This window comes from Homo sapiens, chromosome 5, assembly GCF_000001405.40.
Source record: "Homo sapiens chromosome 5, GRCh38.p14 Primary Assembly".
In the NCBI taxonomy this organism is placed as follows: domain Eukaryota; kingdom Metazoa; phylum Chordata; class Mammalia; order Primates; family Hominidae; genus Homo; species Homo sapiens.
The window spans coordinates 178,129,043-178,155,152 of NC_000005.10; the positions used below are offsets into that span (position 1 = coordinate 178,129,043).

A 26,110-nucleotide genomic window follows, 5' to 3' on the forward strand; every position below is an offset into this window, starting at 1 on the left:
TGAGGAGGAGTGGGGACTTCTCTACTCTTTCCCTCCAGAGCAGAGGGTCCGGGATAGAAAATTCAATCTGGGGCTGGGTGTGGTGGTTCATGCCTGTAATCCCAGCAATTTGGGAGGCTGTGGTGGGTGGATCACCTGAGGTCAGGAGTTTGAGACCAGCCTGGCCAACATGGCAAAATCCCCTCTCTACTAAAAATACAAAAATTAGCCGGGCATGGTGGAGCATGTCTGTAATCTGTTACTCATGGAGCTGAGGCAGGACAATCGCTCGAAGCTTGGAGGTGGAGGTTGCAGTGAACCGAGATCACACCACTGCACTCCAGCCTGGGCAACAGAGCAAGACTTCATCTCAAAAAAAGAAAAAGAAAATTCAGTCTGGACCTGGGTTTGGGGTCAGTGCCTGTTCCCTCCTCCTTCCTAACCCTCACCCTTCCTCCTTAGGGCAGATGGGCAGCTCCCATCTTCTCCCCTTCCCCCGTTCCCCAGGACAGCGACCAACACAGGGCGGCAGGGTAGGGCTGGACCCCCTCCTCCGCAGAACTGAATTCTGTTGAATACCCAGTGGGCAGATTAAGTTCGGGCTAAGGGGACCAGAAAGGCTGGGACAGGAAAGGAGTTTTCTTTTCTTTTCTTTTTTTTTTTTTTGAGACGGAGTCTCGCTCTGTCGCCTAGGCTGGAGTGCAATGGCGCGATCTCGGCTCACTGCAACCTCCGCCTCTCGGGTTCAAACGATTCTCCTGCCTCAGTCTCCCGAGTAGCTAGGATCATGGGACTACAGGCGCCTGCCACCATTCCCGGCTAATTTTTGTATTTTTAGTACAGACGGGGTTTCACCATATTGGACAGGCTGGTCTCGAACTCCTGACCTTATGTTCCGCCCGCCTCAGCCTCCCAAAGTGCTGGGATTACAGGCGTGAGCCGCCCGGCCCGGAGTTTTCTATTCTTTTTTTTTGAGACGGAGTCTCGCTCTGTCGCCCAGGCTGGAGTGCAGTGGCGCCGTCTCGGCTCACTCCGAGCTCCGCCTCCCGGGTTCACGACATTCTCCTGCCTCAGCCTCCCGAGTGGCTGGGACTACAGGCGCCCCCCACCTCGCCCGGCCAATTTTTTGTATTTTTAGTAGAGACGGGGTTTCACCGTGTTAGCCAGGATGGTCTCGATCTCCTGACCTCCTGATCCGCCCGCCTCGGCCTCCCAAAGTGCTGGGATTACAGGCGTGAGCCGCCGCGCCCGGCCTGGAGTTTTCTTTTTTTTTTTAAGCATCACTTCATATTTCAAGAGCTCTCAGTTCTCCTGAGATTTCTAGGCTCTGTCCAGGATCCCTAAGCCTGTTCACAGTCCTACTTGAAGTTTCTAATCTTTCTTTTCTCATTAACCAAAACTGGAGAGAGGAAAAAGCCCATCATTTTCCCTGGACAGCAGCGCCTACTGGGAGTTTCACCCGCATTAACATGCAAACGACAGGCAAACTCCTAGTCATCCTTCCAAAGACCCTGCTCCACAGCCCTGCCGAGGCCGGTGCGCACCTAGCCCAGCCACTGCCCCTCACGGCCCCCGCGCCGCCCTCACTGAGCAGGGCGGGCAGCGCTGTAAGCGTAACCACTTGGGGCTTGGGGCTTCTGACCCGGGAGTCGGGTGCTGGGTTGAGTGCGAGGCCGACGCCTCTGCCGGGTGGGGAACCCGCCCGCCGGCGAGGAGCGGTCGCGGCCAGGGGCTTCCGCCGACTGGGAGGCCCGGGGCCGGGCCGGAGGGACTCGGAACCTGGAAACGACCAGGCGCGACCCCCAGAGGACTACAGGCGCGGCTTTTCTGGCCGCCGCCCGGTTCCCGCGGGCGACTCCACTCGGCATGCGCGGCGGGGAGCCTCGGCGGTGAGGCGCAAAGCCGCGGGCTCGTGGGACGGCCACCCCTCCGCAAAACCGCCAATGGGCGGGCCCGGGCCGCCGATCGCCCGCCGCGGCTTCCGGTTCCGATGACAGTGGCGCCGGAAGCCGGGGCCGGGGCTGCGGGGCGAGGTGAGAGCGGGCGGGCTTGGGAGCCGGCAGGTGCGGGCCGAGGGCGGGCACAGCGGCCGGCGGAGCTGAGGCGCGCGGCGGGGAAAGCTCGGCCGGCCTCCCGGGCCCCAGCCTTCTCCAGAACCCCTGCTACCCACGACTAAGCCCCGAACAATCTGCCCTTGGGCTTGTTCTCTTCGCAGTTGTCGGCCCTGGGCCGGGAGCTGGAGTCCCAGACTCATAGGTCCCGGCCCAGCCCCCGAAGAGCCGCCTCAGCCGGGGGGAGTTGCTCGGACTCAAACGTCCAGTCCTCGTGCGACCGCGCTGGGTCGGAAGTGAGCAGGTGCGCACCGGGCTCGGCAGGGCTATGGAGCAGGGTCTTTGGAAGGATGACTAGGAGTTTGCCTGTCGTTTGCATGTTAATGCGGGTGAAACTCCCAGTAGGCGCTGCTGTCCAGGGAAAATGATGGGCTTTTTCCTCCCTCCAGTTTTGGTTAATGAGAAAAGAAAGATTAGAAACTTCAAGTAGGACTGTATAGTAAAAAAAAAAAAAAAATGGAGGAGGGCGATATGACACGGTAACTGGTGTGAGGGTGGGGCGGAGGGGTCAGTATTAGATACTGTGGTCTAGCAGAGCATCTCTGAGGACGGGACATTTGCGTTGAGACCCAAATTAGGAGGCAGGCTTAGGAAGATACGGGAAGAGAGTGGTCCAGGCAGCGGGAACAGCCAGTGTGAAGGCCCTAGGGCAGAAATCAACTGAGAGTATAGTCAAGGAACAGAAAGCAAGCTAGTGTGGCTAAAGTATGGTAAGAAAGGGAAAGAGTGGTAGGAGATGAGGTCGGATAATTGGGGTTTGGTCACATAGAGTCTGTAGGTCAGAGAGAGGAATGTGGAGTTTTTTCTAAGTACAGTGGAAATCTTTTGGTTTTAAGCAGAGGAGTGACATGTAGGGTAGAGAGTGGATGGAGGTCGCGGCTGCAAAAGCATAAGAATTGGCTGGGCACGGTGGTTCACGCCCGTAATTCCAGCACTTTGGGAGGCTGAGACTGGCAGACGGCTTGAGCTCAGCACTTCAAGACCAACCTGGCCAACATGGTGAAACCCTGTCGCTCCAAAAAATTAGGCTGGGCGCAGTGGCTCACGCTTGTAACCCCAGCACTTTGGGAGGCCAAGGCGGGAGGATCACTTGAGGCCAGGAGTTCAAGACCAGCCTGGCCAACATGGTGAAACCCCGTCTCTACTAAAAATACAAAATTTAGCCGGGTGTGGTGGCAGGTGTCTGTAATTCCAGCTACTTGGGAGGCTGAGGCAGGAGAATCGCTTGAAACTGGGAAGCAAAGGTTGCAATGAGCCAAGATCGTGCCACTGTACTCCAGCCTGGGCGACAGAGTAAGACTCTGTCTCAAAAACAAACAACAAAAAAATTAGCCAGGTGTGGTGGGGAGAGAGGGGAAGAATAGGGACAAAAGGGAATACATAAATAAACACAAAGGAGAAAAGGCCCTGCATGGACCACTTACATGTGTCATGAACTCAGGAGTGTTCATGGTGGGACTACATGGTGCACCTGTAGTCCCAGCTTCTTGGGGTGGGGGGCTGAGGTGGGAGGATCACTTGAGCCCAGGAGGTCGAGGCTGCAGTGAGCCCTGATTGTACCACAGCACTCTGGCCTGGGAAACAGATTGAGACCCTGTCTCTCTCTTTTTTTTTTTTTTTTTAAGCAACCCTATTAACTGAAGAGACCCTGCCTCACAAAAAAAAAAAAAAAAAAAAAAAAGCGTTAAGAATTGGGTCAATGGAGGTTGTCTAATCTTTTTTTTTTGTTTTTGTTTGTTTGTTTGTTTTTTTGAGACAGTCTCACTCTGTCGCCCAGGCTGGAGTGCAGTGGCGCCATCTCAGCTCACTGCAACCTCTGCCTCCTGGGTTCAAGCAATTCTCCTGCCTCAGCCTCCCGAGTAGCTGGGATTACAGGCACGCACCACCACGCCCAGCTAATTTTTGTATTTTTAGTAGAGACAGGGTTTCGCCATGTTGGTCAGGCTGGTCTCAAACTCCTGACCTTGTGATCCGCCTGCCTCGGCCTCCCAAAGTGCTGGGATTACAGGCATGAGCCACCACGCCCAGCCGATGTTGTCTAATCTTTGTCAGGCAAAAGGGACCTTTATGATTTGCTCAAACTTCCTTTCTCCTTACACAGGAGCCCCTTGTTTCAGGATGCTAAATACTCCAGGATAAACCTCCATACATGCCTTTGTGGAGATTTTAATATTTCACTCATGTCTCTTTTCTACCCACTCCTACACATTTGAGCTCAGGTTCTCCAGCGCAGTTAGGAAATGGATGTGTCATTTAATCAGCAAATGTGTGTGTGTGTTTTTTTAAATTTGAGACGGAGTTTTTGCTCTTGTTGCCCAGGATGGAGTGCAATGGCGTGGTCTTGGCTCACTGCAACCTCCACCTCCTAGGTTCAAGCGATTGTCCTGCCTCAGCCTCCTGAGTAGCTGGGATTACAGGTGCCCGCCACCACGCCTCGGTAATTTTTGTATTTTTAGTAGAGACGAAGTTTCACCATGTTGGTCAGGCGGGTCTCAAACTCTTGACCTCAGGTGAGCCACCCACCTCAGCCTCCCAAAGTGCTGGGATTACAGGTGTGAGCCACTGCGCCGGCCAATCAACAATTTTTTTTTTTTTTGGAGACGGAGTCTCACGCTGTCTCCCAGGCTGGAGTGCAGTGGCACAATCTTGGCTCACTGCAAGCTCCACCTCCCGGGTTCACACCATTCTCCTGCCCCAGCCTCCCGAGTAGCTGGGACTACGGGTGCCCGCCACCACACCCGGCTAATTTTTTGTATTTTTTTAGTAGAGATGGGGTTTCACCGTGTTAGCCAGGATGGTCTTGATCTCCTGACCTCATGATCCACTCGCCTCGGCCTCCCAAAGTGTTGGGATTACAGGCGTGAGCCACCGCGCCCTGCCCCAATCAACAAATGTTTACTGAGCATCTACCATGGACCAGGCCCTAGTCTGGGCACTGAGGGGGAGAAAGGACAAGACTACATTCCAGCCATCGAGCAGCTCACAGACCAATGGAGGAGGCTGACGTGGACAGGCTGTTACTGTGCTGCAGTAGCTGAGGACTCGATGGGTGTGGTGTGGCCACTCTTGCCAGGTTATGAAGCAGAAAAGGAGGCAGGGAGATTTCACTGAGGGCTCAAGGGGAGGTGATAATTTAACTACAGCTTACGTACTCTATACAAAGAAGTGCAGAGGGCACTCTAAAAATGGGAACAACTTGTGCAAAGGAAGCAAATACATTATTGCAAAGGGTTTATATGTCAACCATGGTAGTGTTGGGCAAAAGGTAACAGGATCTGCTATGTGTTTCGGAGGGTCATCCTGGTGGATAATTTCTGTATATGTGAGACCTTGGGGAGGAAGGCTTAGGACCAGTGGACATGAAATTTCAATCTATTAATCATGAAGTTTGTCAAAGACAAACACAATTCCTTGCGCCTGGTGAAGATGACTGACTGATTCAGGCAGAGTGGCTTGCTCTAGACAGACTGAATTAACCTCCTGCATTTTTTGGATAGAATACCCACGAACAGTTCTGTTTTCTCAGTTCATTTATTTTACTTTTAAAAATTTGGCCAGGTGATTTGGCTCACACCTGTAATCCCAGTGCTTTGGGAGGCCAAGGCAGGTGGATCACTTGAGGCTAGGAGTTCGAGACCAGCCTGGCCAAAATGGCGAAACCCCGTCTTTACTAAAAATACAAAAATGAAAAAAAAAAAAAGCCAGGTGTGGTGGTGCACCTGTAATCCCAGCTACTTGGGAGACCAAGGCATAAGAATTGCTTGGACCCGGGAGGTGGAGGTTGCCAGTGAGCCAAGATAGCACCACTGTATTCCAGCCTGGGCAACAGAGCGAGACCGTCTACAAAAAAAAAAAAAAAATTACTGAGTTAATCACACTCCTCAGTTCATGATACATTTAACTGGTCCATGCAGGGCCTTTTTCTCCTTTGTATTTATATTCCCTTTTGTCCCTATTCTTCCCCTCTCTTCTCACCACAGGAAACCATTCTGATGTGTTTGGTGTATATCTTCTTTTTGTTTTTTGTTTTTTTGAGACAGGGTCTCACTCTTGCTCAGGCTGGAATGCAGTGGCATAATCATGGCTGACTGCAGCCTTGACCTCCCGGGCTCAAGCAGTCCTCCGTCCCACCTCAGCCTTCTGAGGAGCTGGGACCACAGGCGTGTGCCACCATGCCCAGGTAAATTTGCCGTGTTGCCCAAGCTAGTCTCAAACTCCTGAGCTCAGCAGTCTGCCTGCCTTGACCTCCCAAAATGCTGAGATTACAGGTGTGAGCCACTGCTCCCAGCCTATATGCATATACTTTTAATTTACATAAATGGATTCTGCCTAGACCTCATTTTTTTCCACCTCAGTGCCATGTGTGGAGCTTGTCGATGTTGCTCTGGGTATATTTGGGATGCAGTTTCTAAATGCTCCACAGGTTTCCATAGATGCATCCCCCACATTTTACTTACTTGATTCCTCTAGTGATGAGGTCCCTAGATTGTTTCCCACTCCTTGCTACAATGCAATCCCGTACCCATCTCCTTCCTCAGCTTTGTAAATAGAATTTTATCGCTTCTCAGCCTTTTCGCTGAGATCAAGTGTAGTAAATACAATTTCAAGATGCTGATTTGAGCTTGGCTTTGATAAGCCTGGTAGCTCTTGGTGTCTGACAGGGCCGGATTGTTTGACCTTCGTGAGGTCCTGGCTTTTTTGAGCCATGTTTATTTTTGATAAATTGTGATTCTAGTTCCCAGACACTCTTGGCCAACATTCTAGTGTCCTGCCATCTTCCCCAGTTGATCATTCTCACGAGCTCTGTGGTTAATTTTCTGTTTCTCATCATCATTAATGGTTGCTGTACACTCATTCCAACACAGATATTTGCTCTTTCCTTTCCTGGTGAAACAGTGGCCTGTGAAGCTGGTCCTGGGAGTACCTGTGATGTGAAGTACGTAGAGAAGGACTCTGAGGCCAGAGCCAGACTGTCTGGCTTCAGTTCAGTTCCCAGCTCCTCCACTTCCCAGACGCCTGACCTTGGGCAACTGATTTAATCTTTGTGTCTCATTTTCTCATCTGCAAAGTGGGTCTAATCATTGTACCTACCTCATAGTGTTTTCGTGAGCATTAGGTAAATGAATTAATGTATGCAAAGTCATTAGAACGGTGCCTGGCACATAACAGGCTCCTATTTGGAATGTCAGCTGTTAATAATAGCAATAATAATAATTACGTCATTTCAGATAGGAGACCCTGTTATATTTTGCCATAATGGGTCACATTCAGTTGCAGGGTGTTTGTTCAGAGGGGATGGTGGGGGGTGGGTGGCATAGCTTCTGGACTCTCTGACTATAGATTCCAGCGTAATAGCATTAGCTGTAAGGAAAAAGGGAAGAAACACAGCCCCCAAGGCCCTGGGTGCCTTTTCACTGTCACTTGTTGCCTGTCAGGTTGGGAGACAGTGGCTACAGATGGGTCAAGGTGCTGAGGCCGGGACTCATGCTGGTGGGAATGAGGGAATGAGTGAAGAGAGCCTGTGAAACTGGGAGGATCTTGGTGGTCACCTTGGACATAGGATTCTCTTTCTCTTTGATGTTCCTCTGTACCCTTCTTGAGAATGGGCATTGGGCTAGATCAGCTCTGTCACTGACATTCTGAGGTTTGCCCACGTGTTCAGTGTCAAAGGCTGCTCTGAAATGGAAAGGAGCAGTGGCCCAGGGTAGAAAGGACACAGAAGGAAGCCCCAGTGGTAGGGAGAGGAGATAGGACAAGAAAAGTCAACTTTCTTTCAATGGTATAATGAGGAGGGAAGGTTGTGTTGCAGCAAGAGAGGTTCTGGTCTGGTGGGGGAGGCAGGCCCAGTGACCAAAACTGAAATAGAAGGGTGCAAAGTGAGAGTAGAGGGAGCTAGGTGGGCACAGGCTAGAGACAGCTGCTGAAGACGCTGACGTCTGAGCTAACTCAGAAGTGATGGGCCAGCCTCTCAAGTAGTCGAGGAGGTAAGGGTGATGGAGAGCAGGCCAGGTGAGGAAGCAGCATGTACCAGGGCACGCAGCTATGAGACAGCAAGGGTTCTGTGCCTGTCCTCGGGTGTGCGGCGGGTGAGGGTGAGGCAGGAGTGCTGGGCAAGTCCGTCAGGCCAGCATGGTTGGCAGTTATTCCCCAAGCTGTGTTTCCAAATATCAGCCACTCAAGGACGGCCTTTATGGTTTATGTTACTATAGTACGTAGAAAAGCAGTTCCTCTAACTGTAAGAATGTGGCCATAATAACTCTATGAAAATACACGGGCCGGGCATGGTGGCTTATGCCTATAATCCCAGCACTTTGAGAGGCCAAGGTGGAAAGATCGTTTGAGCCCAGGAGTTTGAGACCAGCCAGGGCAACACAGAGAGACCCGTCTCTACGAAAAAAAATTTTAAATTAGACAGGTGTAGAAGCACACTCCTGTGGTCCCAGCTAGTCAGGAGGCTAAAGTGGGAGAATCCCTTGGGCCTGGGGGGATCAAGGTTGCCATGAGCTGAGTTTGTGCCACTGCACTCTAGCCAGGGCAACAGAACAAGAGCCTGTCTCAAAAAAAGAAAATACATACGTGTAATATGACATTATGCAGTATATGGATTTCTAGTTAGATAGTATTGCCAGCTAAGGGCTCTGTGAGGCCTGCTCTCTATTCTGATTTAAAAGGGAGATGAACAAAAATTAAGGCATGAAAAGAGTTGAAAATGGAATAATAATTTTCTCACCATGATTAAGAAAAACCTCGTCCTCACACCAGCCTGCATCCTCCACTGGGCACCCCAGTGGAGTGAGGAGATGGGATGTTATATGCTTACCAAAACATAGGTACATATATACATATATGTACAAAACATATAACATTGATACATGATGTGGGAATGGTGAGAGGGATCTGAAGAGGTGGTCTGGGCACCCTGCCTGCCATGCCACCGTGGCCCAGATGGGGCCTGACCCAGCTGACCCTCCCCAGGCTGAGGCCACCATGGAGCAGTGTGCGTGCGTGGAGAGAGAGCTGGACAAGGTCCTGCAGAAGTTCCTGACCTACGGGCAGCACTGTGAGCGGAGCCTGGAGGAGCTGCTGCACTACGTGGGCCAGCTGCGGGCTGAGCTGGCCAGCGCAGGTGGGTGGCCACCCTTGCAAGTGCCCTGCGACAGCCTCCCTGAGGACATGGGAGACCCGAAGCTACTGAGTGACAGGGTTCCGGAAGGACGATGATGAGGATGTTGGTACCTGCATCTGTAGGCCTCCTTGAAACCGGGTAATGACAGTCTCTGAGCTACTTCAAAAAGCCCAACAAATTATTAATTTACCTGAGATGATTCCCATTTACATTTTGTTTTCAACTTACTTTTCTATTTTTAACTTTTTTTCATTTTATAATTGTGTGTGTGTGTGTGTGTGTGTGTGTGTAGAAACAGTGTCTTTGTTGCCTAGGCTGGTCTTTAACTCCTAGGGGCTCAAGTGATCCTCCTGCCTCAGCCTCCCAAAGTGCTGGAATTATATGCGTGAGCCACCATGCCTGGCCTATTTTTAGCTTTTAAGATTTTAAAGATAATTTCAAATTTACAGACCAATTCCAAGAATAGTATAAAGAACTGATATATACCCTTTACTTGGATTCACCAACTGCTCATATGTTGCCATATTTGCCGTGATCATTACTTTTTAACCATTTGAAAATAAGTTGTAGATAACATAGCCCCAAGCCTTCAGTGTGTATGTCCTAAAATCAAGGGCATTCTCTTACATAAAAACAGCGTAGTTATTAAAACCCAGAAATTGCCAGGCACAGTGGCTCACGCCTGTAATCCCAGCACTTCGGGAGCCCGAGGCCGACAGATCACCTGAGATCAGGAGTTTAAAACCAGCCTGGCCAACATGGCAAAACCCTGTCTCTACTAAAAATACAAAAATTAGCTGGGCATGGTGGTGGGCTGCAGTGAGCCGAGGTCACGCCACTGCACTCCAACCTGGGCAACAGAGCAAGACTCGTCTCAAAAAACAAAATAAATAAATCAATCCAAGAAATGAAACATTGATATAATATTACCTAATAACTATAGTTCACATTTCTTTTTTTTTTTTTGAGATGGAGTCTTACTGTTGCTCAGGCTGGAGTGCAGTGGCGTGATCTTGGCTCAACTGCAACCTCCACCTCCCGGGTTCAAGCAATTCTCGTGCCTCAGCTTCCCGAGTAGCTGGAATTAAAGGCGCATGCCACCACCTGCAGCTAATTTTTGTATTTTTTAGTACAGGTGGGGTTTTGACATGTTGGCTAGGCTGGTCTCGAACTCCTGACCTCAAGTGATCTGCCTGCCTCGGTCTCCCAAAGTGCTAGGATTATAGGTGTGAGCCACCATACCCAGCCAGTGTAGTCAACATTTCAATTTTGCCATTGTCCCAGGAATTTTTTTTTTTTTTTGATATAGAGTTTTGCTCTCATTGCCCAGGCTGGAGTGCAATGGCGCAATCTCGGTTCACTGCAACCTCCGCCTCCCAGGTTCAAGAGATTCTCCTGCTTCAGCCTCGCAAGTTGCTGGGTTTACAGGCCCGTACCACCATGCCTGGCTAATTTTTTTTTTTTTTTTTTTGGATTTTTAGTAGAGACAGGGTTTTGCCATGTTGGCCAGGCTGGTCTCGAACTCCCGATCTCAGGTGATCCACCTGCCTCAGCCTCCCAAAGTGCTGGGATTACAGGTGTGAGCCACCATGCCCGGCTGTTCAGGAATTTTCATAAAGCATTTTAATTTCCAGTCCAAGAACCAATCCAAGATCACACACTGCATTTAGTTTCTCCTGTCTAATCTTTACTTTTTTTAATCTGAGACATTTCTTCTGTCTTCCTTTATCTTCCATGACATTGGTATTTTTGAAGCATTAAGGCCAATTATTTTGCAGAACGTCTCTCAATTTGGAGTTGTCTGATGTTTTCTCATTACTTAGGTTTTGCATTTTTGGCAGTACTTCAGAAGTGATTTGTTTCTCAGTGCATCACACTGGAAGACACAAGATGTTGCTTTATTGCATTATTGCTGTTGTTCACTTTTATTTTGGAGACAAGTTCTCACTTTGTTGCCCAGGCTGCAGTGCAGTGGCACGATCTTGGCTCACTGCAGGCTTGACCTCCTGGGCTCAAGTGATCCTACCACCTCAGCCTCAGAAGTAGCTGGGACCACAGCAGTACACTACCAGGCCCTGCTAATTTTTTTTTTTTTTTATTGTAGAGACAGGGTCTCCCTATGCTGTCCAAGACGGTGTCGAACTCCTGGGTTCAAGTGATCCTCCCGTGTCAGCCTCCCAAAGTGCTGGGATTATGATCCGCTGCACCTGGCCTGATCTTCACTTTGATCACTTAGTTAAGATGGTCGCTGCTAAGGTTTTCCACTGTAAACTTCCTAATTTTTCTTTGTAATCACTAAGTAGTTTGTGGGCTGTAATCCTAGCACTTTGGGAGGCTGAGGCGGGCGGATCACTCGAGCCCAGGAGGTTGAGACCAGGCTGGTCAACATGGCAAAACCACATCTCTACTAAAAATACAAAAATTAGCCGGGCATGGTGGCACATGCCTGTAGTCCCAGCTACTTGGGAGGCTGAGGCATGAGAATCGCTTGAACCCAGGAGGTGGAGGTTGCAGCGAGCCAAGATCGCGCCACTGCATTCCAGCATGGGTGACAAAGCGAGACTGTCTCAAAAAAAAAAAAAAAGTAGTTTGTGGGGAGATACTTTGATACCATATAAATGTCCTGCTCTTTACCAAATTTCAGCCTACTAGTTTTAGTATCCATTAATGATTGTTGTGTGAATTATTACTAAGCTGTCTGCAACATGGTGATTTTTCCTGCTTTGTCATTCTTTATACATTTATTAGTTGACATTCAACTGAAAAGAAGCTTTCCCTTCTCCTTTCATTATTATCACTTCACACTCATATTCTTATTTTATTCAATAGGTTATAATCCATTGCAGTTATTTAATGTTCAAATTGTCTTAGGTCTGACCAGAGGGAGTCCCTGGTTCCTATGTCTTTTTTAAAAATTGAGCTATAATTCACTTACCATTAAACTCACTCTTTTAAAGTACTCTGTCCAGGTGCAGTGGCTCATGCCTGTAATCCCAGCACTTTGGGAGGCTGAGGCAGGTGGATCACCTAAGGTCAGGAGTTCGAGACCAGCCTGGCCAACATGGTGAAACCCTGTCTGTACTAAAAAATACAAAAATTAGCTGGGCGTGGTGTCATGTACCTGTAATCCCAGCTACTCAAGAGGCTGAGGCAGGAGAATCGCTTGAACCCAGGAGGCAGAGGTTGCAGTGAGCCAAGATTAAGTCACTGCACTCCAGCCTGGGTGACAGAGCAAGACTCTGTATCAAAATAAATAAATAAAGTACAACTCTGGATGGGCATGGTGGCTTATGTCTGTAATCCCAGCACTTTGGGAACTTGAGGCGGGTAGATTGCTTGAGTCCGGGAGTTTGAGACCAGTCTGGGTAATATGGTAACCCTGTCTACCAAAAATACAGGTATTAGCCAGTCTCATAACTCGGTCTCAAAATAAATAAATACATACATACATAGATGAAAATTTAAAAAATAAAGTCCAACTCAGCGGTTTTCAGCATATTTACAGAGTTGTACAATCTTCACCACTATCTAATTTCAGAACATTTTCATCACCCCCAAAAGAAACCTAACCCATTGACTGTCTCTCCATTTCCTCCCTCTCCCTAGCCTCTGGCAACCACTAATCTCTTTTTTGTCTCTATAGATTTGCCTATTTTGGACAGTTCATATACAAGGAATCATACCACATGTAGCCTTTTGTGTCCGGCTTCTTTGATTAATAGAATGTTTTCAAGGCTCATCTATGCTGTAGCCTGTATCAGCACTTCATTCCTTTCTATGGCTGAATAATAGTCCACTGTAGGGATGTGCCATGTTTTTCCACTAGCTGATGGACATTTGGGTTGTTTCCACCTTCTGGCTATTATAAATATTGCTGCTATAAATATTCACTTACAAGTTTTTGTGTGGACATATGTTTTTATTTCTTCTGGTATATCCTTCGGAGTGGAACTGCTGGATCAGGTGGTAACTCTAGGTCTAACCTGGCAGTTAAACAGAATCCTATGCATGCTGTAGTCCATGAGTTGAAATAAACACTTGACCCATAGTAAGTGCCAGATCATCTTCATTTCACAGCAACCAGTAATTTCACAGATGAGGAAATGAAGGCTCCCAGAGGTGAACTGGCTTTTCCCATTTGAGCAGTTCCAAGTCAGACAGTTAAAAAGTGGCAGGACCTGGAAGAGAAGCTAGTTCTTTCACCCTGGCATTCAGGGCTGCCTCCTGGGCTACGGGGCTGGCATTTAGAATAGAGCTAAGGTCTGCTGCCAAGGCAGGTGCCCCAGTCTGCCTCCTCTGTGTCCTTATTCCACTTTCTCTGCAGCCCTCCAGGGGACCCCTCTCTCAGCCACCCTCTCTCTGGTGATGTCACAGTGCTGCCGGAAGATCAAAGATACGGTGCAGAAACTGGCTTCGGACCATAAGGACATTCACAGCAGTGTATCCCGAGTGGGCAAAGCCATTGACAGGGTGAGCACGTGGCCGGCTCCAGGCGTGGGGTGGGAGCACCCTGAAGCTGGGATGTACAAGGACTCGAAGGAGAGCCAGCAAGAGTGCCCGCATCACCAGGCCCTGTCTCTCCTCCTTCGTCAGAACTTCGACTCTGAGATCTGTGGTGTTGTGTCAGATGCGGTGTGGGACGCGCGGGAACAGCAGCAGCAGATCCTGCAGATGGCCATCGTGGAACACCTGTATCAGCAGGGCATGCTCAGCGTGGCCGAGGAGCTGTGCCAGGTACAGTCGGGCTGGGCGGGCGCAACAACCTGCCTGCTCTGCCTTTCACCTGCTAGTTTTCACTGTATGAAGTCCCTACCATTCTCAAATCCATTTATTTCCTAAAGGAAATCAGCACCTCTGCCAGAAGCAGAAGGTAGCTTTAAAAACATATATGATGAAAAGAGAAGTTACTCATTTTTAGTTAGAGTTGGTTGCCAGCCAGGGCTCTGAGCTGAGGCCTCATATCCCTTTATTGAAAAGGGAGCTGAGTGAAATGACAAAGTAGTACTTGTTAGGTGTTAAAGACACACTGGTGGTAAAAGTAAAAGATTTTCCCTACTGTACTAGGAGGATTGAAGAGGAGTAATTTTCTCGCCATGCAACTCAGTGCGTAGCCTGGGGACTGTCTCCACTGCTACGGTTGTGGGGTGGGGTCTGCAGTCTGCACTCGAGGTCAGCATGTCATACTCAGCCTCCCCAGGACTGAGATGGGAACAAGAGAGGCCCAAGTGGCTGGCAGGAGACCAAGCTCCTCAAGCAAAGCCCAGCTCTCTGGCCTGTCTTTGGCGGGTGAGCTTTTATTATGTGCATAGCAGAGAACTTTGGAAACACCATCTTCCAGTGGTGGGATCTCTTCTCTCTCTCCTTGTAGGAATCAACGCTGAATGTGGACTTGGATTTCAAGCAGCCTTTCCTAGAGTTGAATCGAATCCTGGAAGCCCTGCACGAACAAGACCTGGGTCCTGCGTTGGAGTAAGGAGGCCCTTGGGTGGGCCAGCAGCATTCTGCTTCGACCTCTCAGGGCACAGGGCTTGACTGTGGTCTTCATTTCACCCAGATGTACTTGACTTGCCTGCAGCCCTGTCTCAAGAGCCTCACACAGGCTTTTGGGGCCCTCCTCTCAGGTGCTGGCTCTCAGGTCCTAGCCCCCACCAGCTCTACACTAAACTGGCCCCTTTCTTCCCAGATGGGCCGTCTCCCACAGGCAGCGCCTGCTGGAACTCAACAGCTCCCTGGAGTTCAAGCTGCACCGACTGCACTTCATCCGCCTCTTGGCAGGAGGCCCCGCGAAGCAGCTGGAGGCCCTCAGCTATGCTCGGCACTTCCAGCCCTTTGCTCGGCTGCACCAGCGGGGTGAGTGCCCAGGCAGCTGGGGTTGTGCTGCCTGGCCTGACACATGTCTGGATGTGGTAGGTTACATCAGGCTGCCAGTCCCTGCACCCATGTGGGGCTGTCTGTTACACAGATGCCTCTCCCCAACTAGAAACTTCTCTGACCCCTCGTGTCCAGGATGAACTCTAGACTCCTCCTCTCTCACATCTGCCATACCTTTAGTTTATAGCTTCAGCGCAGACCACCCAGGGTCCTCGTGCCTGCTATGCGCCACACCACACTCATTTAGAGCATGCCATGCCCGTCCCACCTGTTCTGCCTCGTATGCCTCCCTGACCTGTGTGGCCTATGGAAAAGTCCTTTAAGAAAAAAAAAAAGGCCAGGCACGGTGGCTCACGCCTGTAATCCCAATATTTTGGGAGGCCGAGGTGGGCGGATCATGAGGTCCATCTTGGCTAACATGGTAAAACCCCATCTCTACTAAAAATACAAAAAAAATTAGCTGGGCGTTGTGGCGGGCGTTTGTAGTCCCAGCTACTAGGCTGAAGCAGGAGAATGGCATGAACCCGGGAGGCGGAGCTTGATCGCGCCACTGCACTCCAGCCTGGGTGACAGAGTGAGACTCCGTCTCAGAAAAAAAAAAAAAGACTTGTCTGGGTGCGATGGCTCATGCCTGTAATTGCAGCACTTTGGGAGGCCAAAGCAAAGGGCGGATCACTTGAGCTGGAGACCAGCCTTGGCAACATGGGGAACCCCTGCCCCTGCTCCCATCTCTACAAAAAATAAAATAAAAAAGACTCAGTTGAGCACTCTTCCTGTCATGCTAGAATTTCCAAACCTGGAATCTGAGTCTCACCTATGCTTACAAGTAGTAACCTGTACTAACTTGTTTTTTTAGTTCCACCTCATATTTATTATTTTAAATTTTATCTCAAAATAAATATGAAAACCAAGCCATGATTTATTATTTATTTTTGAGACAAAGTCTCACTCTGTTGCCCAGGCTGGAGTGCAGTAAGTGGTGTGATCCCGGCTCACTGCAACCTCCACCTCCCAGGTTCAAGCGATTCTCCTGCCTCAGCCTCCCGAGTAGCTGGGATTACAAATGCCTGACACCGGCCGGGCATGATGGCTCACACCTGTAATCCCAGCACTTTGGGAGGCTGAGGCGGGTGGATCATGAGGTCAAGAGATCGAGACCATCCTGGCCAACATGGTGAAACCCCATCTCTACTAAAAATATGAAAAATTAGCCGGGCGTGGTGGCGGGCACCTGTAGTCCCAGCTACCCGGGAGGCTGAGGTAGGATAATCACTTGAACCCGGGAAGCGGAGGCTGCAGTGAACCGAGATTGTGCCACTGCCCTCCAGCACTCCAGCCTGGCGACAGAGCGAGACTCTGTCTCAAAAAAAAAAAAAAACACACAAAAAACACACACACCAAAAAAAACAAGTGCCTGACACCACAACCACGTCTGGCTAACTTTATATATTTTTTATTAGAGACGGGGTTTCACCATGTTGGCCAGGCTGGCCTCAAACTCCTGGCCTCATGTGATGCACCCACCTTGGCCTCCCAAAGTGCTGGGATTATAGGCATGAGCCACCACGCCCGGCCCCAAAACATGACTGAAGTTTTAGCTAGATACTGCTGCCTGTTGAAAGCTCTTAACCTGGGGTTGCTCTAAATGGAGATTAGTGTGGAGACACCAGTGCCAACCTGAGGACTTATTTGATCCTTGATGCAGTGGGGGAGGAAAGAGAACTGGAAAAGAACTGTCCTCATTCCTGATTCTGTGTTAGTAATGCCTGTTCTCATCCTGCAGAAGCAGCCTGGACCTCCACCTCCCCAGTGGATTTTACAGTCAAATTTGCCTGAGGGCATTTTCATCCCTGCTCAGTCTCCTCAGGGGCTTGGGAGCCACCGGGCTCAGCATATTGTGCTGTGCTGCACAGTCCTGCTGCCCGCTTGGGGGTGGACCCAGAGCCCTGCACCCCCTGAGCTGCCCCCTCTGGTTGCCTTGTAGAGATCCAGGTGATGATGGGCAGCCTGGTGTACCTGCGGCTGGGCTTGGAGAAGTCACCCTACTGCCACCTGCTGGACAGCAGCCACTGGGCAGAGATCTGTGAGACCTTTACCCGGGACGCCTGTTCCCTGCTGGGGCTTTCTGTGGAGTCCCCCCTTAGCGTCAGGTACAACCCAGCCCTGTGAGGGCAGCACAGGTGGGAGGGTAGAGAGGTAATCATCATTTGCCAAGGCCCTGCCATGTGCCAGGAACAGTGCTCGGTGCTTTCAGAGACCGAAACTGGCTTTCTTAGTCATTCTTCAGGAGAGGAATTACCTGTTTTTACAGTTAAACTGAGACTAGGAAGAGTTATGGCCCGAGGTCACCATGAGGTCAGTGGCATGGTCAAGGTTCCCATTTTGTAAGGTCTCCTGAATGAGGTCCCTGCCTCTCTTGCACCTCACCCTGGATCATTGCAAGACCTTCCCAGCTAACCCACGCCCCTCTGCAGCCCGCCTTCCTCATGACCTAATGTCTTAAACACCACTTGCCTTCAGGGGAGATGTGAGTGGTTGAGTAATATGTATTCAGCACTGCTGCTGACACCTCCCTCAGAGCTCCCAGCAACCCTGGGAGGGAGAGCCACGTTATCCTCCTTCTACAGATGAGGAAATGGAGGCCCAAGATGTGCACGCACTTGCCCAAGGCCTCGCAGGGAATAATGGGCACTTGAACCTGACCCCAGAGCCACACACTCCGCCACAGTGGACAGCTGTCACTGTGTATTTAGACTGTTGATGGTGTCTGAGTACAGCACCTCAATATAGTGGACTGATTCTACGCTCATCTGATTTGTTACCATGGACTCAGTTTATAGAACGTCATTTCCCAGCAAGAACAACATCAGCACCTTAGGATGATTCTGTTGCGCAGGACTACCCTGTGCACTGTGGGGTATTCAGCACCTGAGGTTCCAGCCAGTAGGCTCCCTTCCCCATGCAACTGTCACGAGAAGGGAACCCCAACCTCCATTTGTTAGGCGGCCTAGTTGATAGCCACCATTATAAAGATGTGTTATGACTACACAGCAGGGTACGTCCTACAGGCAGGCTGGGGCCCTTTGGAACTGCTCACTGTTCCCTAGTCACACCAAGGACTTTTCAGTCATTAGGATGAGCAGATATCTGCCCCTAGAGCTATAGGAAGTCTTCCCTGTAGGTTCTCAAATTTTGGGGTGCATTAGAATGAGTCTGTAGAGTCAGACATACATAAGTACATATGTGACATCTTATGAACAATGTGAGGGATCTTTGAGGACCGATTTGACCGTGCACCATTTTAGAGCCCTGTCTCAAGGTCCATGCTGAAGCATGGCGCGCTGGCCCTTTTTGCCTGTCTGCTGTGATCTGAGCCACTCTAGCCCCTGTTCCTTGTCTGCAGCTTTGCCTCTGGCTGTGTGGCGCTGCCTGTGTTGATGAACATCAAGGCTGTGATTGAGCAGCGGCAGTGCACTGGGGTCTGGAATCACAAGGACGAGTTACCGGTGAGGCCTGGTCTGGGGAATCGTGGGCAAGAGGTACTGGGGAGGACAGCCATGACAGGAAGTGGAACTCACCCGCTTCGCTGCCCTTCCCAGATTGAGATTGAACTAGGCATGAAGTGCTGGTACCACTCCGTGTTCGCTTGCCCCATCCTCCGCCAGCAGACGTCAGATTCCAACCCTCCCATCAAGCTCATCTGTGGCCATGTTATCTCCCGAGATGCACTCAATAAGCTCATTAATGGAGGAAAGTAAGTTCCCCGTGCTCTACTCCACCTTGGCTTGGCTCTCCTACTGGCCACCCCTGAGACGTTCTCGGTTCTCCTCCCTTTGCAGGCTGAAGTGTCCCTACTGTCCCATGGAGCAGAACCCGGCAGATGGGAAACGCATCATATTCTGATTCCTACCTGGAAGGAATTTTGTTGAAAGGGGTTTTCACCTGTGAGCCTTGGTCTGTCTCGGTAGGGTGGTCAACTTCAGTGGACTGTGGTTGGTTTCAGAGCGCCTGGCTGAGGAGTTCCACTGAGGGGAGCACTGGAGCAGCCCTTTGGCAGAGGCTGAGGAGGGAGATGGACCAGCCCACGCCTGGCACCTGGCTCCATGGCATAAGGAAAGGGAGATGCTGGCCTCTGTGCTCCTGCTGTCTTTTCCTGTTTCTGTTTGCGTTTGACTTAGTAGCAACCGACAGAGTGGCAAGGGATTTGGTCTTCAGCAGTAGACATCCTTCCACCCCTGCCCTCAGCCAAGTCTCTTGCTGCCATGCCAATGCTATGTCCACCCTTGCCCCTCGGCCCAAGAGTGTCCAGCGGTGGCCCACCTCTTCCTCCCACTACAGCCTCAACAGTATGTACCATCTCCCACTGTAAATAGTCCCAGTTAGAACGGAATGCCGTTGTTTTATAACTTTGAACAAATGTATTTACTGCCCTTCTCATTTCTCCTGGCCAACCTTTAGCCTCACTGACAAATTATGACCACATGTCTACCACACACAGGGACTGGGCACGGCCTGGTGGCTGCCGCAAACAAAAACATGGCCAGCAGGTATCCAGTGTCCAGGCAGGAAGAACACAACTTGCATCCCTGACTGCGGGGAGCTTAGATGTCAGACCCCGGGCAAGGTGCTTTTACATATACCCATACCAGATCTTACTAACTCCATAGGAGAAATCCGTGTAATGGGATTCAGGAAAATGAAGTAACTTGCACAACAGGGCTCACAGCTTAGAAAGGAGAGAGCTTGGAGTTTTAACCAGATCTGACCCTCAAGCCCAAGCTATTTCCAGTTTATTCCAGGGTGCCTGAACTTGGCTGTTATGTATACTGAGTCCTGTGCAGGGCCTCTGACAGCAGGAAGGGGCCCCAAGTCTAAAATACTTGAAGGGATTGGGTTACTAGGGCCATTATGTTAAGCAAGAGAGCTCGGGGGAATGCATTTTAGCTTCATATTCCTATTTAAAATGTGCTGTGTGGGTGGGTAAATTGCTTCCATAAGCTTCACAGTGGCATTTAAGGCTCCTGGGTTAAGTTAGGAATGGGGGTGTTCCTGATGTGGGGGCTTTAGGCTTCCATGAAGTGGGTCTGGGCCCCCTGCCTTACCTCACAGCCCCCATCTACCCTGGAAGAGGGAGTTGAAAATGCTGGGATAGCAGCAGGATCAGTTCTCAGCTTGAGCCAAAGCACCCGGCCCTGGGCAGCTGAGCATCAGCACAGAACCCTCTGAGTCCTTTGGGCTCTCTGCTGAGGAAGACTGCTTCACTCTTCCCGCCCACCAACTCGCTGGCCCAACCAGCAGCTGCTGCTTAAGAAAACACCCACAGACTCACCACATTTTAGTCTTAGCATTTACTTTCCCCACCCCACATTCTTGGAACAGCCTTTAGTTCTACAGGAAATGGCACTGATGGACAGAAGACTAGCATTACCTTCATGAAAGGGCTGTTAGAGCTGCCTGGGAAGAAGGCGTGCCTTGGGGAACTGGGAAGATGCCGTCAGTGTGGGTGGGCAGGAGGACAGCCAGTCGTCCTGCTGCCAGCCCAATAGCTTCCAGCGGCAGGTGCCCAGGTGCTACCGGAGCCCCTCATAGGGGTAGGGGCAGGGACTGCACCTCCTCCAGGCACTCATCGTAAGCCTCCTGGTACTCCTCATGGGGCTTGACCATTATCACACAGGTGGGGCGCTTGGAGCCTGCGGCTGCACCCAGGTCCTACAGAGGGGAAAGAAGTGCTGTTTGGAAAAAAGCTGTACAACCTGTATGCCAGGAAGTCACCAACTGATGACCCACCAGCCTAATCTGGCCCACAACCATGTTCTGTTCGGTCCATGTTCTATTTAAAAGCATCTTGAATTGGTTGCCATCATTTAAACTCAATCAGACTTTGAAGGCATGGTCCAGCCACACAGGGCCTACATTCCCACATGGCAACTATGAAAGGGCTCCAGCCCAGCAGGGGCTGTCCCGGTCCCTGCCACCCCCACTTCCTGTGCCTCAGATCTGGCCCCTGTTACGTAAGATAAGGACAGCTACAGGTCCCTCTGAGCCTAAACCCACCTAACCGGACTAACATGGGTGAAGCATCTTAGCTTACAAAGCTCTTTCACATACATCTATCTCTTTATTCTCATAGTCCACAGATAACTGACTATTTGGTTCTTACCATCAGGCCAAACGGTAAGTTCCTTCAGAACAGGGCCTCCTGCTTTATCCCAAGAAGTGATACTGTAGGTACCCAAGATCCACCCCCAGCCTCTATTTTTTTTTTTTGAGACAGGGCCTCACTCTGTCATGCAGTCTGGAGTGTGGTGGTGTATGATCATGGCTCACTGCAGCCTTGAACTCCTGGGTTCAAGTGATCTCCTGCTTTAGCCTCCCAAGTGGCTGGGACTACAGGCATGTGCCACCACACCCAGCTAATTAAAAAAATTTTTTTTGTAGAGATGGAGTCTCACTTTGTTGCGCAGGTTATTCCTGAACTCCTGTCCTCAACTGATCCTCCTGTCTTGGCCTCCCAAAGCACTAGGATTACAGGTGTGAGCCACAGCGCCTGGGCTGGGATTCCCACTTTACAAGATGGGAACTGAAATGCAAGAAGTAACATATCTGTAGTCCCAAAACTAAGAAGATGTGGAGCTGAGAATCCATCCAGGCCTGTCTTAGCTCCAACACTCCTGGCTCTTTCCCACACTCTCCTGCTATGGCAGACTATCCCAGACACCCCAGTGCTGAGCAAGGTCAGGGGGCCACGTGCTCCTTACCGTCTTAGAGGGGATATAGACATAGGGCAAATTTCGGTCCTCACACATGACTGGGAGATGGCAGTATACCTCAATGGGCAGTGTGTCTCCTGCCAAAACCATGATCCTGAAATGAGAGAAAACACTGTCATCTCTGGCTTGCTCCTTCCTTCTTTCAGTTTTAAGTGCTGCCCTGGGCTGGGTCTTAGGGATAGAGACAAAATTGTGTTTGGTGAGCACACTATTTGGGGGTGATCTCTACCTCTTGGCAACATACAGGTGCCACCAAAGTGATGTAGTGCTCGGACAGGTGAAGTACAGGATGGGTGCCAAGGTGTATGAGCTCAGCTCTCTTTGGAGAGTCAAAAAAGGGTTCAACCAGGAGGTGACACTTGAACAGCACGCTGATGGATGACTGTGTGGCAGGCAGCCCACGGAGGGGCTGGGGCGGGGGAGAGCATGTGGTGTGAGAATCAGAACGGCACCAGACACAGCCGAGAGACTGGCAGGGGACACCCCCAAGACCTTGAGTACCAGGCTAAGAAGCATGGGCTCTGTCCCAAGAGTGACAGTGAGGCAATGAAAGCTTGCCAGAGACTCAGCCAGGGTTCCTAGCTGGCCAGGTGTCAAGGCTGGGGGGCAAGGGCCTCAGGAGCCTAAGACACAGAAGGAAAAGTCTGCTCTCCCATGCTGGATAACAGGCGGACACACAAGGACAGAGCCCTCGGCTGAAAGAATGCTTCCGCACTCCTAGTGCTCCTCTGGGCCCTCTGCTGGCTCCCCTTCTGTTAAGCGCCTTTCACTGTGAGTGTTCCTCACAGCCTTGTCCTCGGCTGCCCTCTCCTCTCAGGACCTTCTTCCTGGCTGACCGGAGCCACTGCCATGGGGTCAGGTGCCATCTATGTGCTGAAAACTCCCAGATGTACTATCTCCAGCCTGGCCCTCTCTCTTCCATGCTCCAAACCCCTATAGCCATCTGCCTGTTTGACAGTTCTCCTGGTGTGGGGCGGGGTGGAAGTCATGTGTCTCTACAGCACCTCAAAAACTTACCCAGACCCAAATTTGTGATCTTTCTACACAAATCTGGTCCCCCTCCACTGTTCACATCTCAAGATTGGGCCCTCTGTCCCTCCAGCTGGGCATGTCAGAACCTAGAAGTCGTCAATACCTCCCCATTCTCCACATCTGAAAGTCCTTTCAAATCTGTCCCCTTTAACTCTGTCTCCACCATCACCTCTCCAGGACTACAGTAGTCTACTACCTGAACTTTCCCAAACCTACTCGTACCTCTCTAATCCTTTCTTCAATTGTCAGAAAAATCTTAGGGTGTAAAAAATAATAAAAATTATGTCACTTCCTGGCTTTAACCCCTAATAGCCTCCAAAGTGCTGAGTATAAAAACTAAATTTACTGTGTCCTACAAGGCCCCCTAAGAAGGTAGCACTTCTGCTCACCAGACCCTCTCCTGCCCAGAGGCCCACTCTTTCTTCTGGCAGAATCCTCCCACCCACCCCCCAATTAATCCCTGTGTCTTAAGACCTCAGCTCAAATGTGACTGCTGAGGGAAACTTCCCCAGATGCGCCCTCCCCAGCTAGGTTAGATGCCGTTGAGCATCAAGTCTGCCCAACATTATTGATCTCTTGAGCACCTACAGTTTCACTTCTTGGGATAAAGCAAGGAGGCCCTGTTCTGAAGGAGCTTACCATCTGGCCTGAGAGGGTGATAAAGGGAAGAAAAATGTAAACAAGGTTCAAACTTTGATAAATGCCATTAAGAAAAGTGGGGTGATGAAGTTATCATTGCACTCTGTTATTTTCCTTCATGGCTATCTATCACAACGTGTAATTAGTTGTGTGTGTGTCATTATCTGATGAATGAATGTCACTGTTTCCCCCATAACACAGTGCCTGAAAAAGAGTACATTCAATTGTTAAGGCTGCCAGGCGCGGTGGCTCATGCCTGTAATCCCAACGCTTCGGGAGGCTGAGGCAGGAGGATTCCTTGAGCCCAGGAGTTCAAGACCAGCCCGGGCAACATGGCGAGACTCCTCTGTCTCTGCAAAACAACAATAACAACAGCCAGGCGTGGCGCAAGCCGGTGGTCTCAGCTATTCGGGAGGCTGAGGTGGGAGGATCGCTTGAGCCCAGGGGGACGAGGCTGCAGCGAGCTGTGATCGCACCACCGCACTCCAACCTGGGTGAGAGCTAGACCCATCTCAAAAACAAACAAAAACGTTAACGTTCAGTTCCTTAAATACAGAGCCGGAGAGGGGTCATCCCTAGGACTGAGATTCAGGGCTGAGAGGATTAGGGCGGGGGCCGGAGGTAATCTGAGGCAAGGAGCGGAGCCCGGGGAGGAGGGTCCCTGAATTAATGAAGGTGGGTTTACTCTAAGGGACTTTGCTTACACAATTCGCTTCACTTTGGAATTCACTTTGAGCTGGTATACGTGGTGTACCGGTATTGTCGTACCGGTATTGTACCAAAGGGACTTTACCGACTGCTTGATTGGCTTCTGTATATGGGGCTAGGTCAGAGTTAACCTTTTTACTGCGCGCCTACTAAGTAGAGATTTCTCCGTTAACGTTTAGAAATGCAAAATCCAGAGGAAGGAAGGTTCTTACCCTTTTTCTCCTTTGTTGACAAATTTCTGAACCTCTTTCACCCCGCGCCGAATCTGCTTCTGCTTCACCGCTGCAACGACAGAAGAGTCGGTCGGGGGCCTCGCTCAGCCACCCGCGCACCCATCCCACCCGCGCACCCATCCCGGCCACGCCGCCGTCCGCCTCACCTTTCTTGATGCATTTGTAGAGCTTCCGCGTGAGGCGGCGAGAAGCCAGGGGCTGCGCGATGGGGTTCTGGTTGACCAGCAGCTCCTGGTAGGTGCGCTCCCCGGAACACGCCTCCGCCTGAGCCTCGGGCCCGTCGGGATCTGCCTTTATTTTGGTCATCGCAGCGGCCGCTGAAACCTAGTCCCAGGGAGGCGAGCCCACGCGGTCCACAGCTTTAGGCATCACTTCCAGGTCATCAGCTGCGCGAGAAGCCGCCGTACAACACGGCCAATCAGGAAAGGAAGTCTCCGACTCAGCCCAATCGTTGACGCCCAGCTTCGTAACTACGGAGAGCGGAGAGGGGCGGAGTCATGGTCCTTAAGGCGGGGCCATCCCCGGACCAAGGGACTGGGCGGAACCGATTAGGGCGGAGCGGAGGGAATGTGAGGCAAGGGGCGGAGCCCTGGGAATCGGGGCCGGAGAGGGCGGGGCTCTGGGTGCTGGAAAGGCTGCCTCGTTTTTTTTCTTTTTTGAGGCAGAGTTTCGCTCTTATTGCCCAGGCTGGGGTACAGTGGCGCAATCTCGACTCACTGCAACCTCCGCCTCCCGGGTTCAAGCGATTCTCCTACTTCAGCCTCCCGAGTAGCTGGGATTGCAGGCATGCGCCACCACGCCCAGATAATTTTGTATTTTTACTAGAGACAGGGGTTCTCCATGTTGGTCAGGCTGGTCTTGAACTCCTGACCTCAGGCGATCCGCCCGCCTCGGCCTCCCAAAGTGCTGGGATTACAGGCGTGAGCCACCGCGCCCGGCCTAAGGCTGCCTCCTTTCTTGCATAATTTTTCTTTGTTTTCTGACCCCTGGACCCGGCTGCGCAGGTGTGAAAGATACAGAGCAAGGGATGACCCCACTGACCTGCGTCTGCACCGCTTTTCCACAGATAGCGTGTGGCTCACTCTCATCCCGCAGGGTTCCGTTTCAGTGTTTCCCATGGGAGAGGTTTCCCTGGTGATTTTATCTAAAATTGCCGTCCCCTCTCTCTCCAAACCAGCATCCCTTCACCCGCTATTTTCCCGCAGTTCTTACCATTGCCTGACGCTACACATGCAGAGGGCCTAGCCGAGAAGCCAGCCGGGGCTGAGGGAAGGACGGCTCCAGCGAAGCCGGGAACAGCGGAGGGAAGGCTTTGGGGACTGAGCTCCCTGCCGTGCAGGGTGAGAGCTATGAGGAGCTACCCTTTGGACGGGTCTGTAGAAGGTAAAGGGACAGAGCTGCCAGGGCGTGGGGGGCGGTGGCAGGCCGAGATCCAGTGGATCTTGGTATCTCTGATTAGCCTCTTCCACTATATTTTGGAACTCTGGATGGATATTAATTAGATAATCGCTGCAAATTACTAATTTGTAATACTAATTACCTTTGATCCTGATGTGGCAGGCCTGCCATTTTTGTGTTGCTGGAACAGGCCAGTAAGTAGAAACTTAGAAGTGTTCCGGTAGTTGTGGGTGGGAACACAGG

General features: G+C 50.9%; 2 protein-coding genes across 11 annotated transcripts, besides 9 other annotated features; one reads left to right on the forward strand and one right to left on the reverse strand.

The window, feature by feature from the left end:
* Nucleotides 494–1,145: an enhancer, noted in NCBI's record as "H3K27ac-H3K4me1 hESC enhancer chr5:177556537-177557188 (GRCh37/hg19 assembly coordinates)". NCBI's record gives its function as "activates a minimal SCP1, AML or CMV promoter by ChIP-STARR-seq in primed H9 embryonic stem cells {active_cell/tissue: H9 hESC(primed)}" and the evidence as "EXISTENCE:reporter gene assay evidence [ECO:0000049][PMID:30033119]".
* Nucleotides 1,146–1,797: an enhancer, noted in NCBI's record as "H3K27ac-H3K4me1 hESC enhancer chr5:177557189-177557840 (GRCh37/hg19 assembly coordinates)". NCBI's record gives its function as "activates a minimal SCP1, AML or CMV promoter by ChIP-STARR-seq in primed H9 embryonic stem cells {active_cell/tissue: H9 hESC(primed)}" and the evidence as "EXISTENCE:reporter gene assay evidence [ECO:0000049][PMID:30033119]".
* Nucleotides 1,146–2,118: a biological region, named in NCBI's record as "H3K27ac-H3K4me1 hESC enhancer GRCh37_chr5:177557189-177557840".
* Nucleotides 1,529–2,118: a silencer, noted in NCBI's record as "silent region_16713". NCBI's record gives its function as "represses an Ori minimal core promoter by ATAC-STARR-seq in GM12878 lymphoblastoid cells {active_cell/tissue: GM12878}" and the evidence as "EXISTENCE:reporter gene assay evidence [ECO:0000049][PMID:35858748]".
* On the forward strand, nt 1,972–21,526 carry RMND5B (required for meiotic nuclear division 5 homolog B). Of its 8 annotated transcripts, NM_001288794.2 has the most exons (12): nt 1,972–2,012; nt 2,195–2,334; nt 6,131–6,270; nt 9,066–9,216; nt 13,541–13,686; nt 13,810–13,950; nt 14,585–14,685; nt 14,900–15,066; nt 17,072–17,237; nt 18,491–18,593; nt 18,687–18,841; nt 18,927–21,526. In NM_001288794.2, the coding sequence occupies exons 4-12, from the start codon at nt 9,078–9,080 to the stop codon at nt 18,988–18,990; spliced, it is 1,182 nt and encodes a 393-aa protein (NP_001275723.1). In that variant the 5' UTR covers nt 1,972–2,012; nt 2,195–2,334; nt 6,131–6,270; nt 9,066–9,077; the 3' UTR covers nt 18,991–21,526. The 8 variants fall into 8 exon arrangements, with proteins under 8 accessions (NP_001275723.1, NP_001275724.1, NP_073599.2 ...); NM_001288795.2 differs by lacking the exon at nt 9,066–9,216; NM_022762.5 differs by lacking the exon at nt 6,131–6,270.
* Nucleotides 3,076–3,605: an enhancer, noted in NCBI's record as "H3K4me1 hESC enhancer chr5:177559119-177559648 (GRCh37/hg19 assembly coordinates)". NCBI's record gives its function as "activates a minimal SCP1, AML or CMV promoter by ChIP-STARR-seq in primed H9 embryonic stem cells {active_cell/tissue: H9 hESC(primed)}" and the evidence as "EXISTENCE:reporter gene assay evidence [ECO:0000049][PMID:30033119]".
* Nucleotides 17,006–17,300: an enhancer, noted in NCBI's record as "tiled region #11782; K562 Activating DNase unmatched - State 25:Art". NCBI's record gives its function as "activates a minimal TATA promoter and a strong SV40 promoter by Sharpr-MPRA in K562 cells {active_cell/tissue: K562}" and the evidence as "EXISTENCE:reporter gene assay evidence [ECO:0000049][PMID:27701403]".
* Nucleotides 17,395–17,504: an enhancer, noted in NCBI's record as "active region_23739". NCBI's record gives its function as "activates an Ori minimal core promoter by ATAC-STARR-seq in GM12878 lymphoblastoid cells {active_cell/tissue: GM12878}" and the evidence as "EXISTENCE:reporter gene assay evidence [ECO:0000049][PMID:35858748]".
* Nucleotides 17,625–17,674: an enhancer, noted in NCBI's record as "active region_23740". NCBI's record gives its function as "activates an Ori minimal core promoter by ATAC-STARR-seq in GM12878 lymphoblastoid cells {active_cell/tissue: GM12878}" and the evidence as "EXISTENCE:reporter gene assay evidence [ECO:0000049][PMID:35858748]".
* NHP2 (NHP2 ribonucleoprotein) lies at nt 20,421–24,843 on the reverse strand. 3 transcript variants are annotated; one of them, NM_001396110.1, is made up of 5 exons: nt 24,616–24,843; nt 24,449–24,518; nt 21,846–21,951; nt 21,540–21,667; nt 20,421–20,796 (listed from the first exon to the last, which is right to left on the reverse strand). In NM_001396110.1, the coding sequence occupies exons 1-5, from the start codon at nt 24,773–24,775 to the stop codon at nt 20,754–20,756; spliced, it is 507 nt and encodes a 168-aa protein (NP_001383039.1). In that variant the 5' UTR covers nt 24,776–24,843; the 3' UTR covers nt 20,421–20,753. The 3 variants fall into 3 exon arrangements, with proteins under 3 accessions (NP_001383039.1, NP_060308.1, NP_001030005.1); NM_017838.4 differs by lacking the exon at nt 21,540–21,667; NM_001034833.2 differs by lacking the exons at nt 21,540–21,667; nt 21,846–21,951.
* Nucleotides 21,910–22,411: an enhancer, noted in NCBI's record as "H3K4me1 hESC enhancer chr5:177577953-177578454 (GRCh37/hg19 assembly coordinates)". NCBI's record gives its function as "activates a minimal SCP1, AML or CMV promoter by ChIP-STARR-seq in primed H9 embryonic stem cells {active_cell/tissue: H9 hESC(primed)}" and the evidence as "EXISTENCE:reporter gene assay evidence [ECO:0000049][PMID:30033119]".

Bases quoted from the DNA above. Each gene is read 5' to 3' on its own strand.
- RMND5B (XM_047417525.1), top strand. From the start codon at position 9,078: ATGGAGCAGTGTGCGTGCGTGGAGAGAGAGCTGGACAAGGTCCTGCAG. The intron at 17,238-18,490 runs GTACAACCCAGC...CCTTGTCTGCAG, and splicing joins GAGTCCCCCCTTAGCGTCAG to CTTTGCCTCTGGCTGTGTGG. The intron at 18,594-18,686 runs GTGAGGCCTGGT...TGCCCTTCCCAG, and splicing joins ATCACAAGGACGAGTTACCG to ATTGAGATTGAACTAGGCAT.
- NHP2 (NM_001396110.1), bottom strand. From the start codon at position 24,775: ATGACCAAAATAAAGGCAGATCCCGACGGGCCCGAGGCTCAGGCGGAG. The intron at 24,519-24,615 runs GTGAGGCGGACG...CTGTCGTTGCAG, and splicing joins CTACAAATGCATCAAGAAAG to CGGTGAAGCAGAAGCAGATT. The intron at 21,952-24,448 runs GTAAGAACCTTC...CTCTCATTTCAG, and splicing joins GTCAACAAAGGAGAAAAAGG to GATCATGGTTTTGGCAGGAG.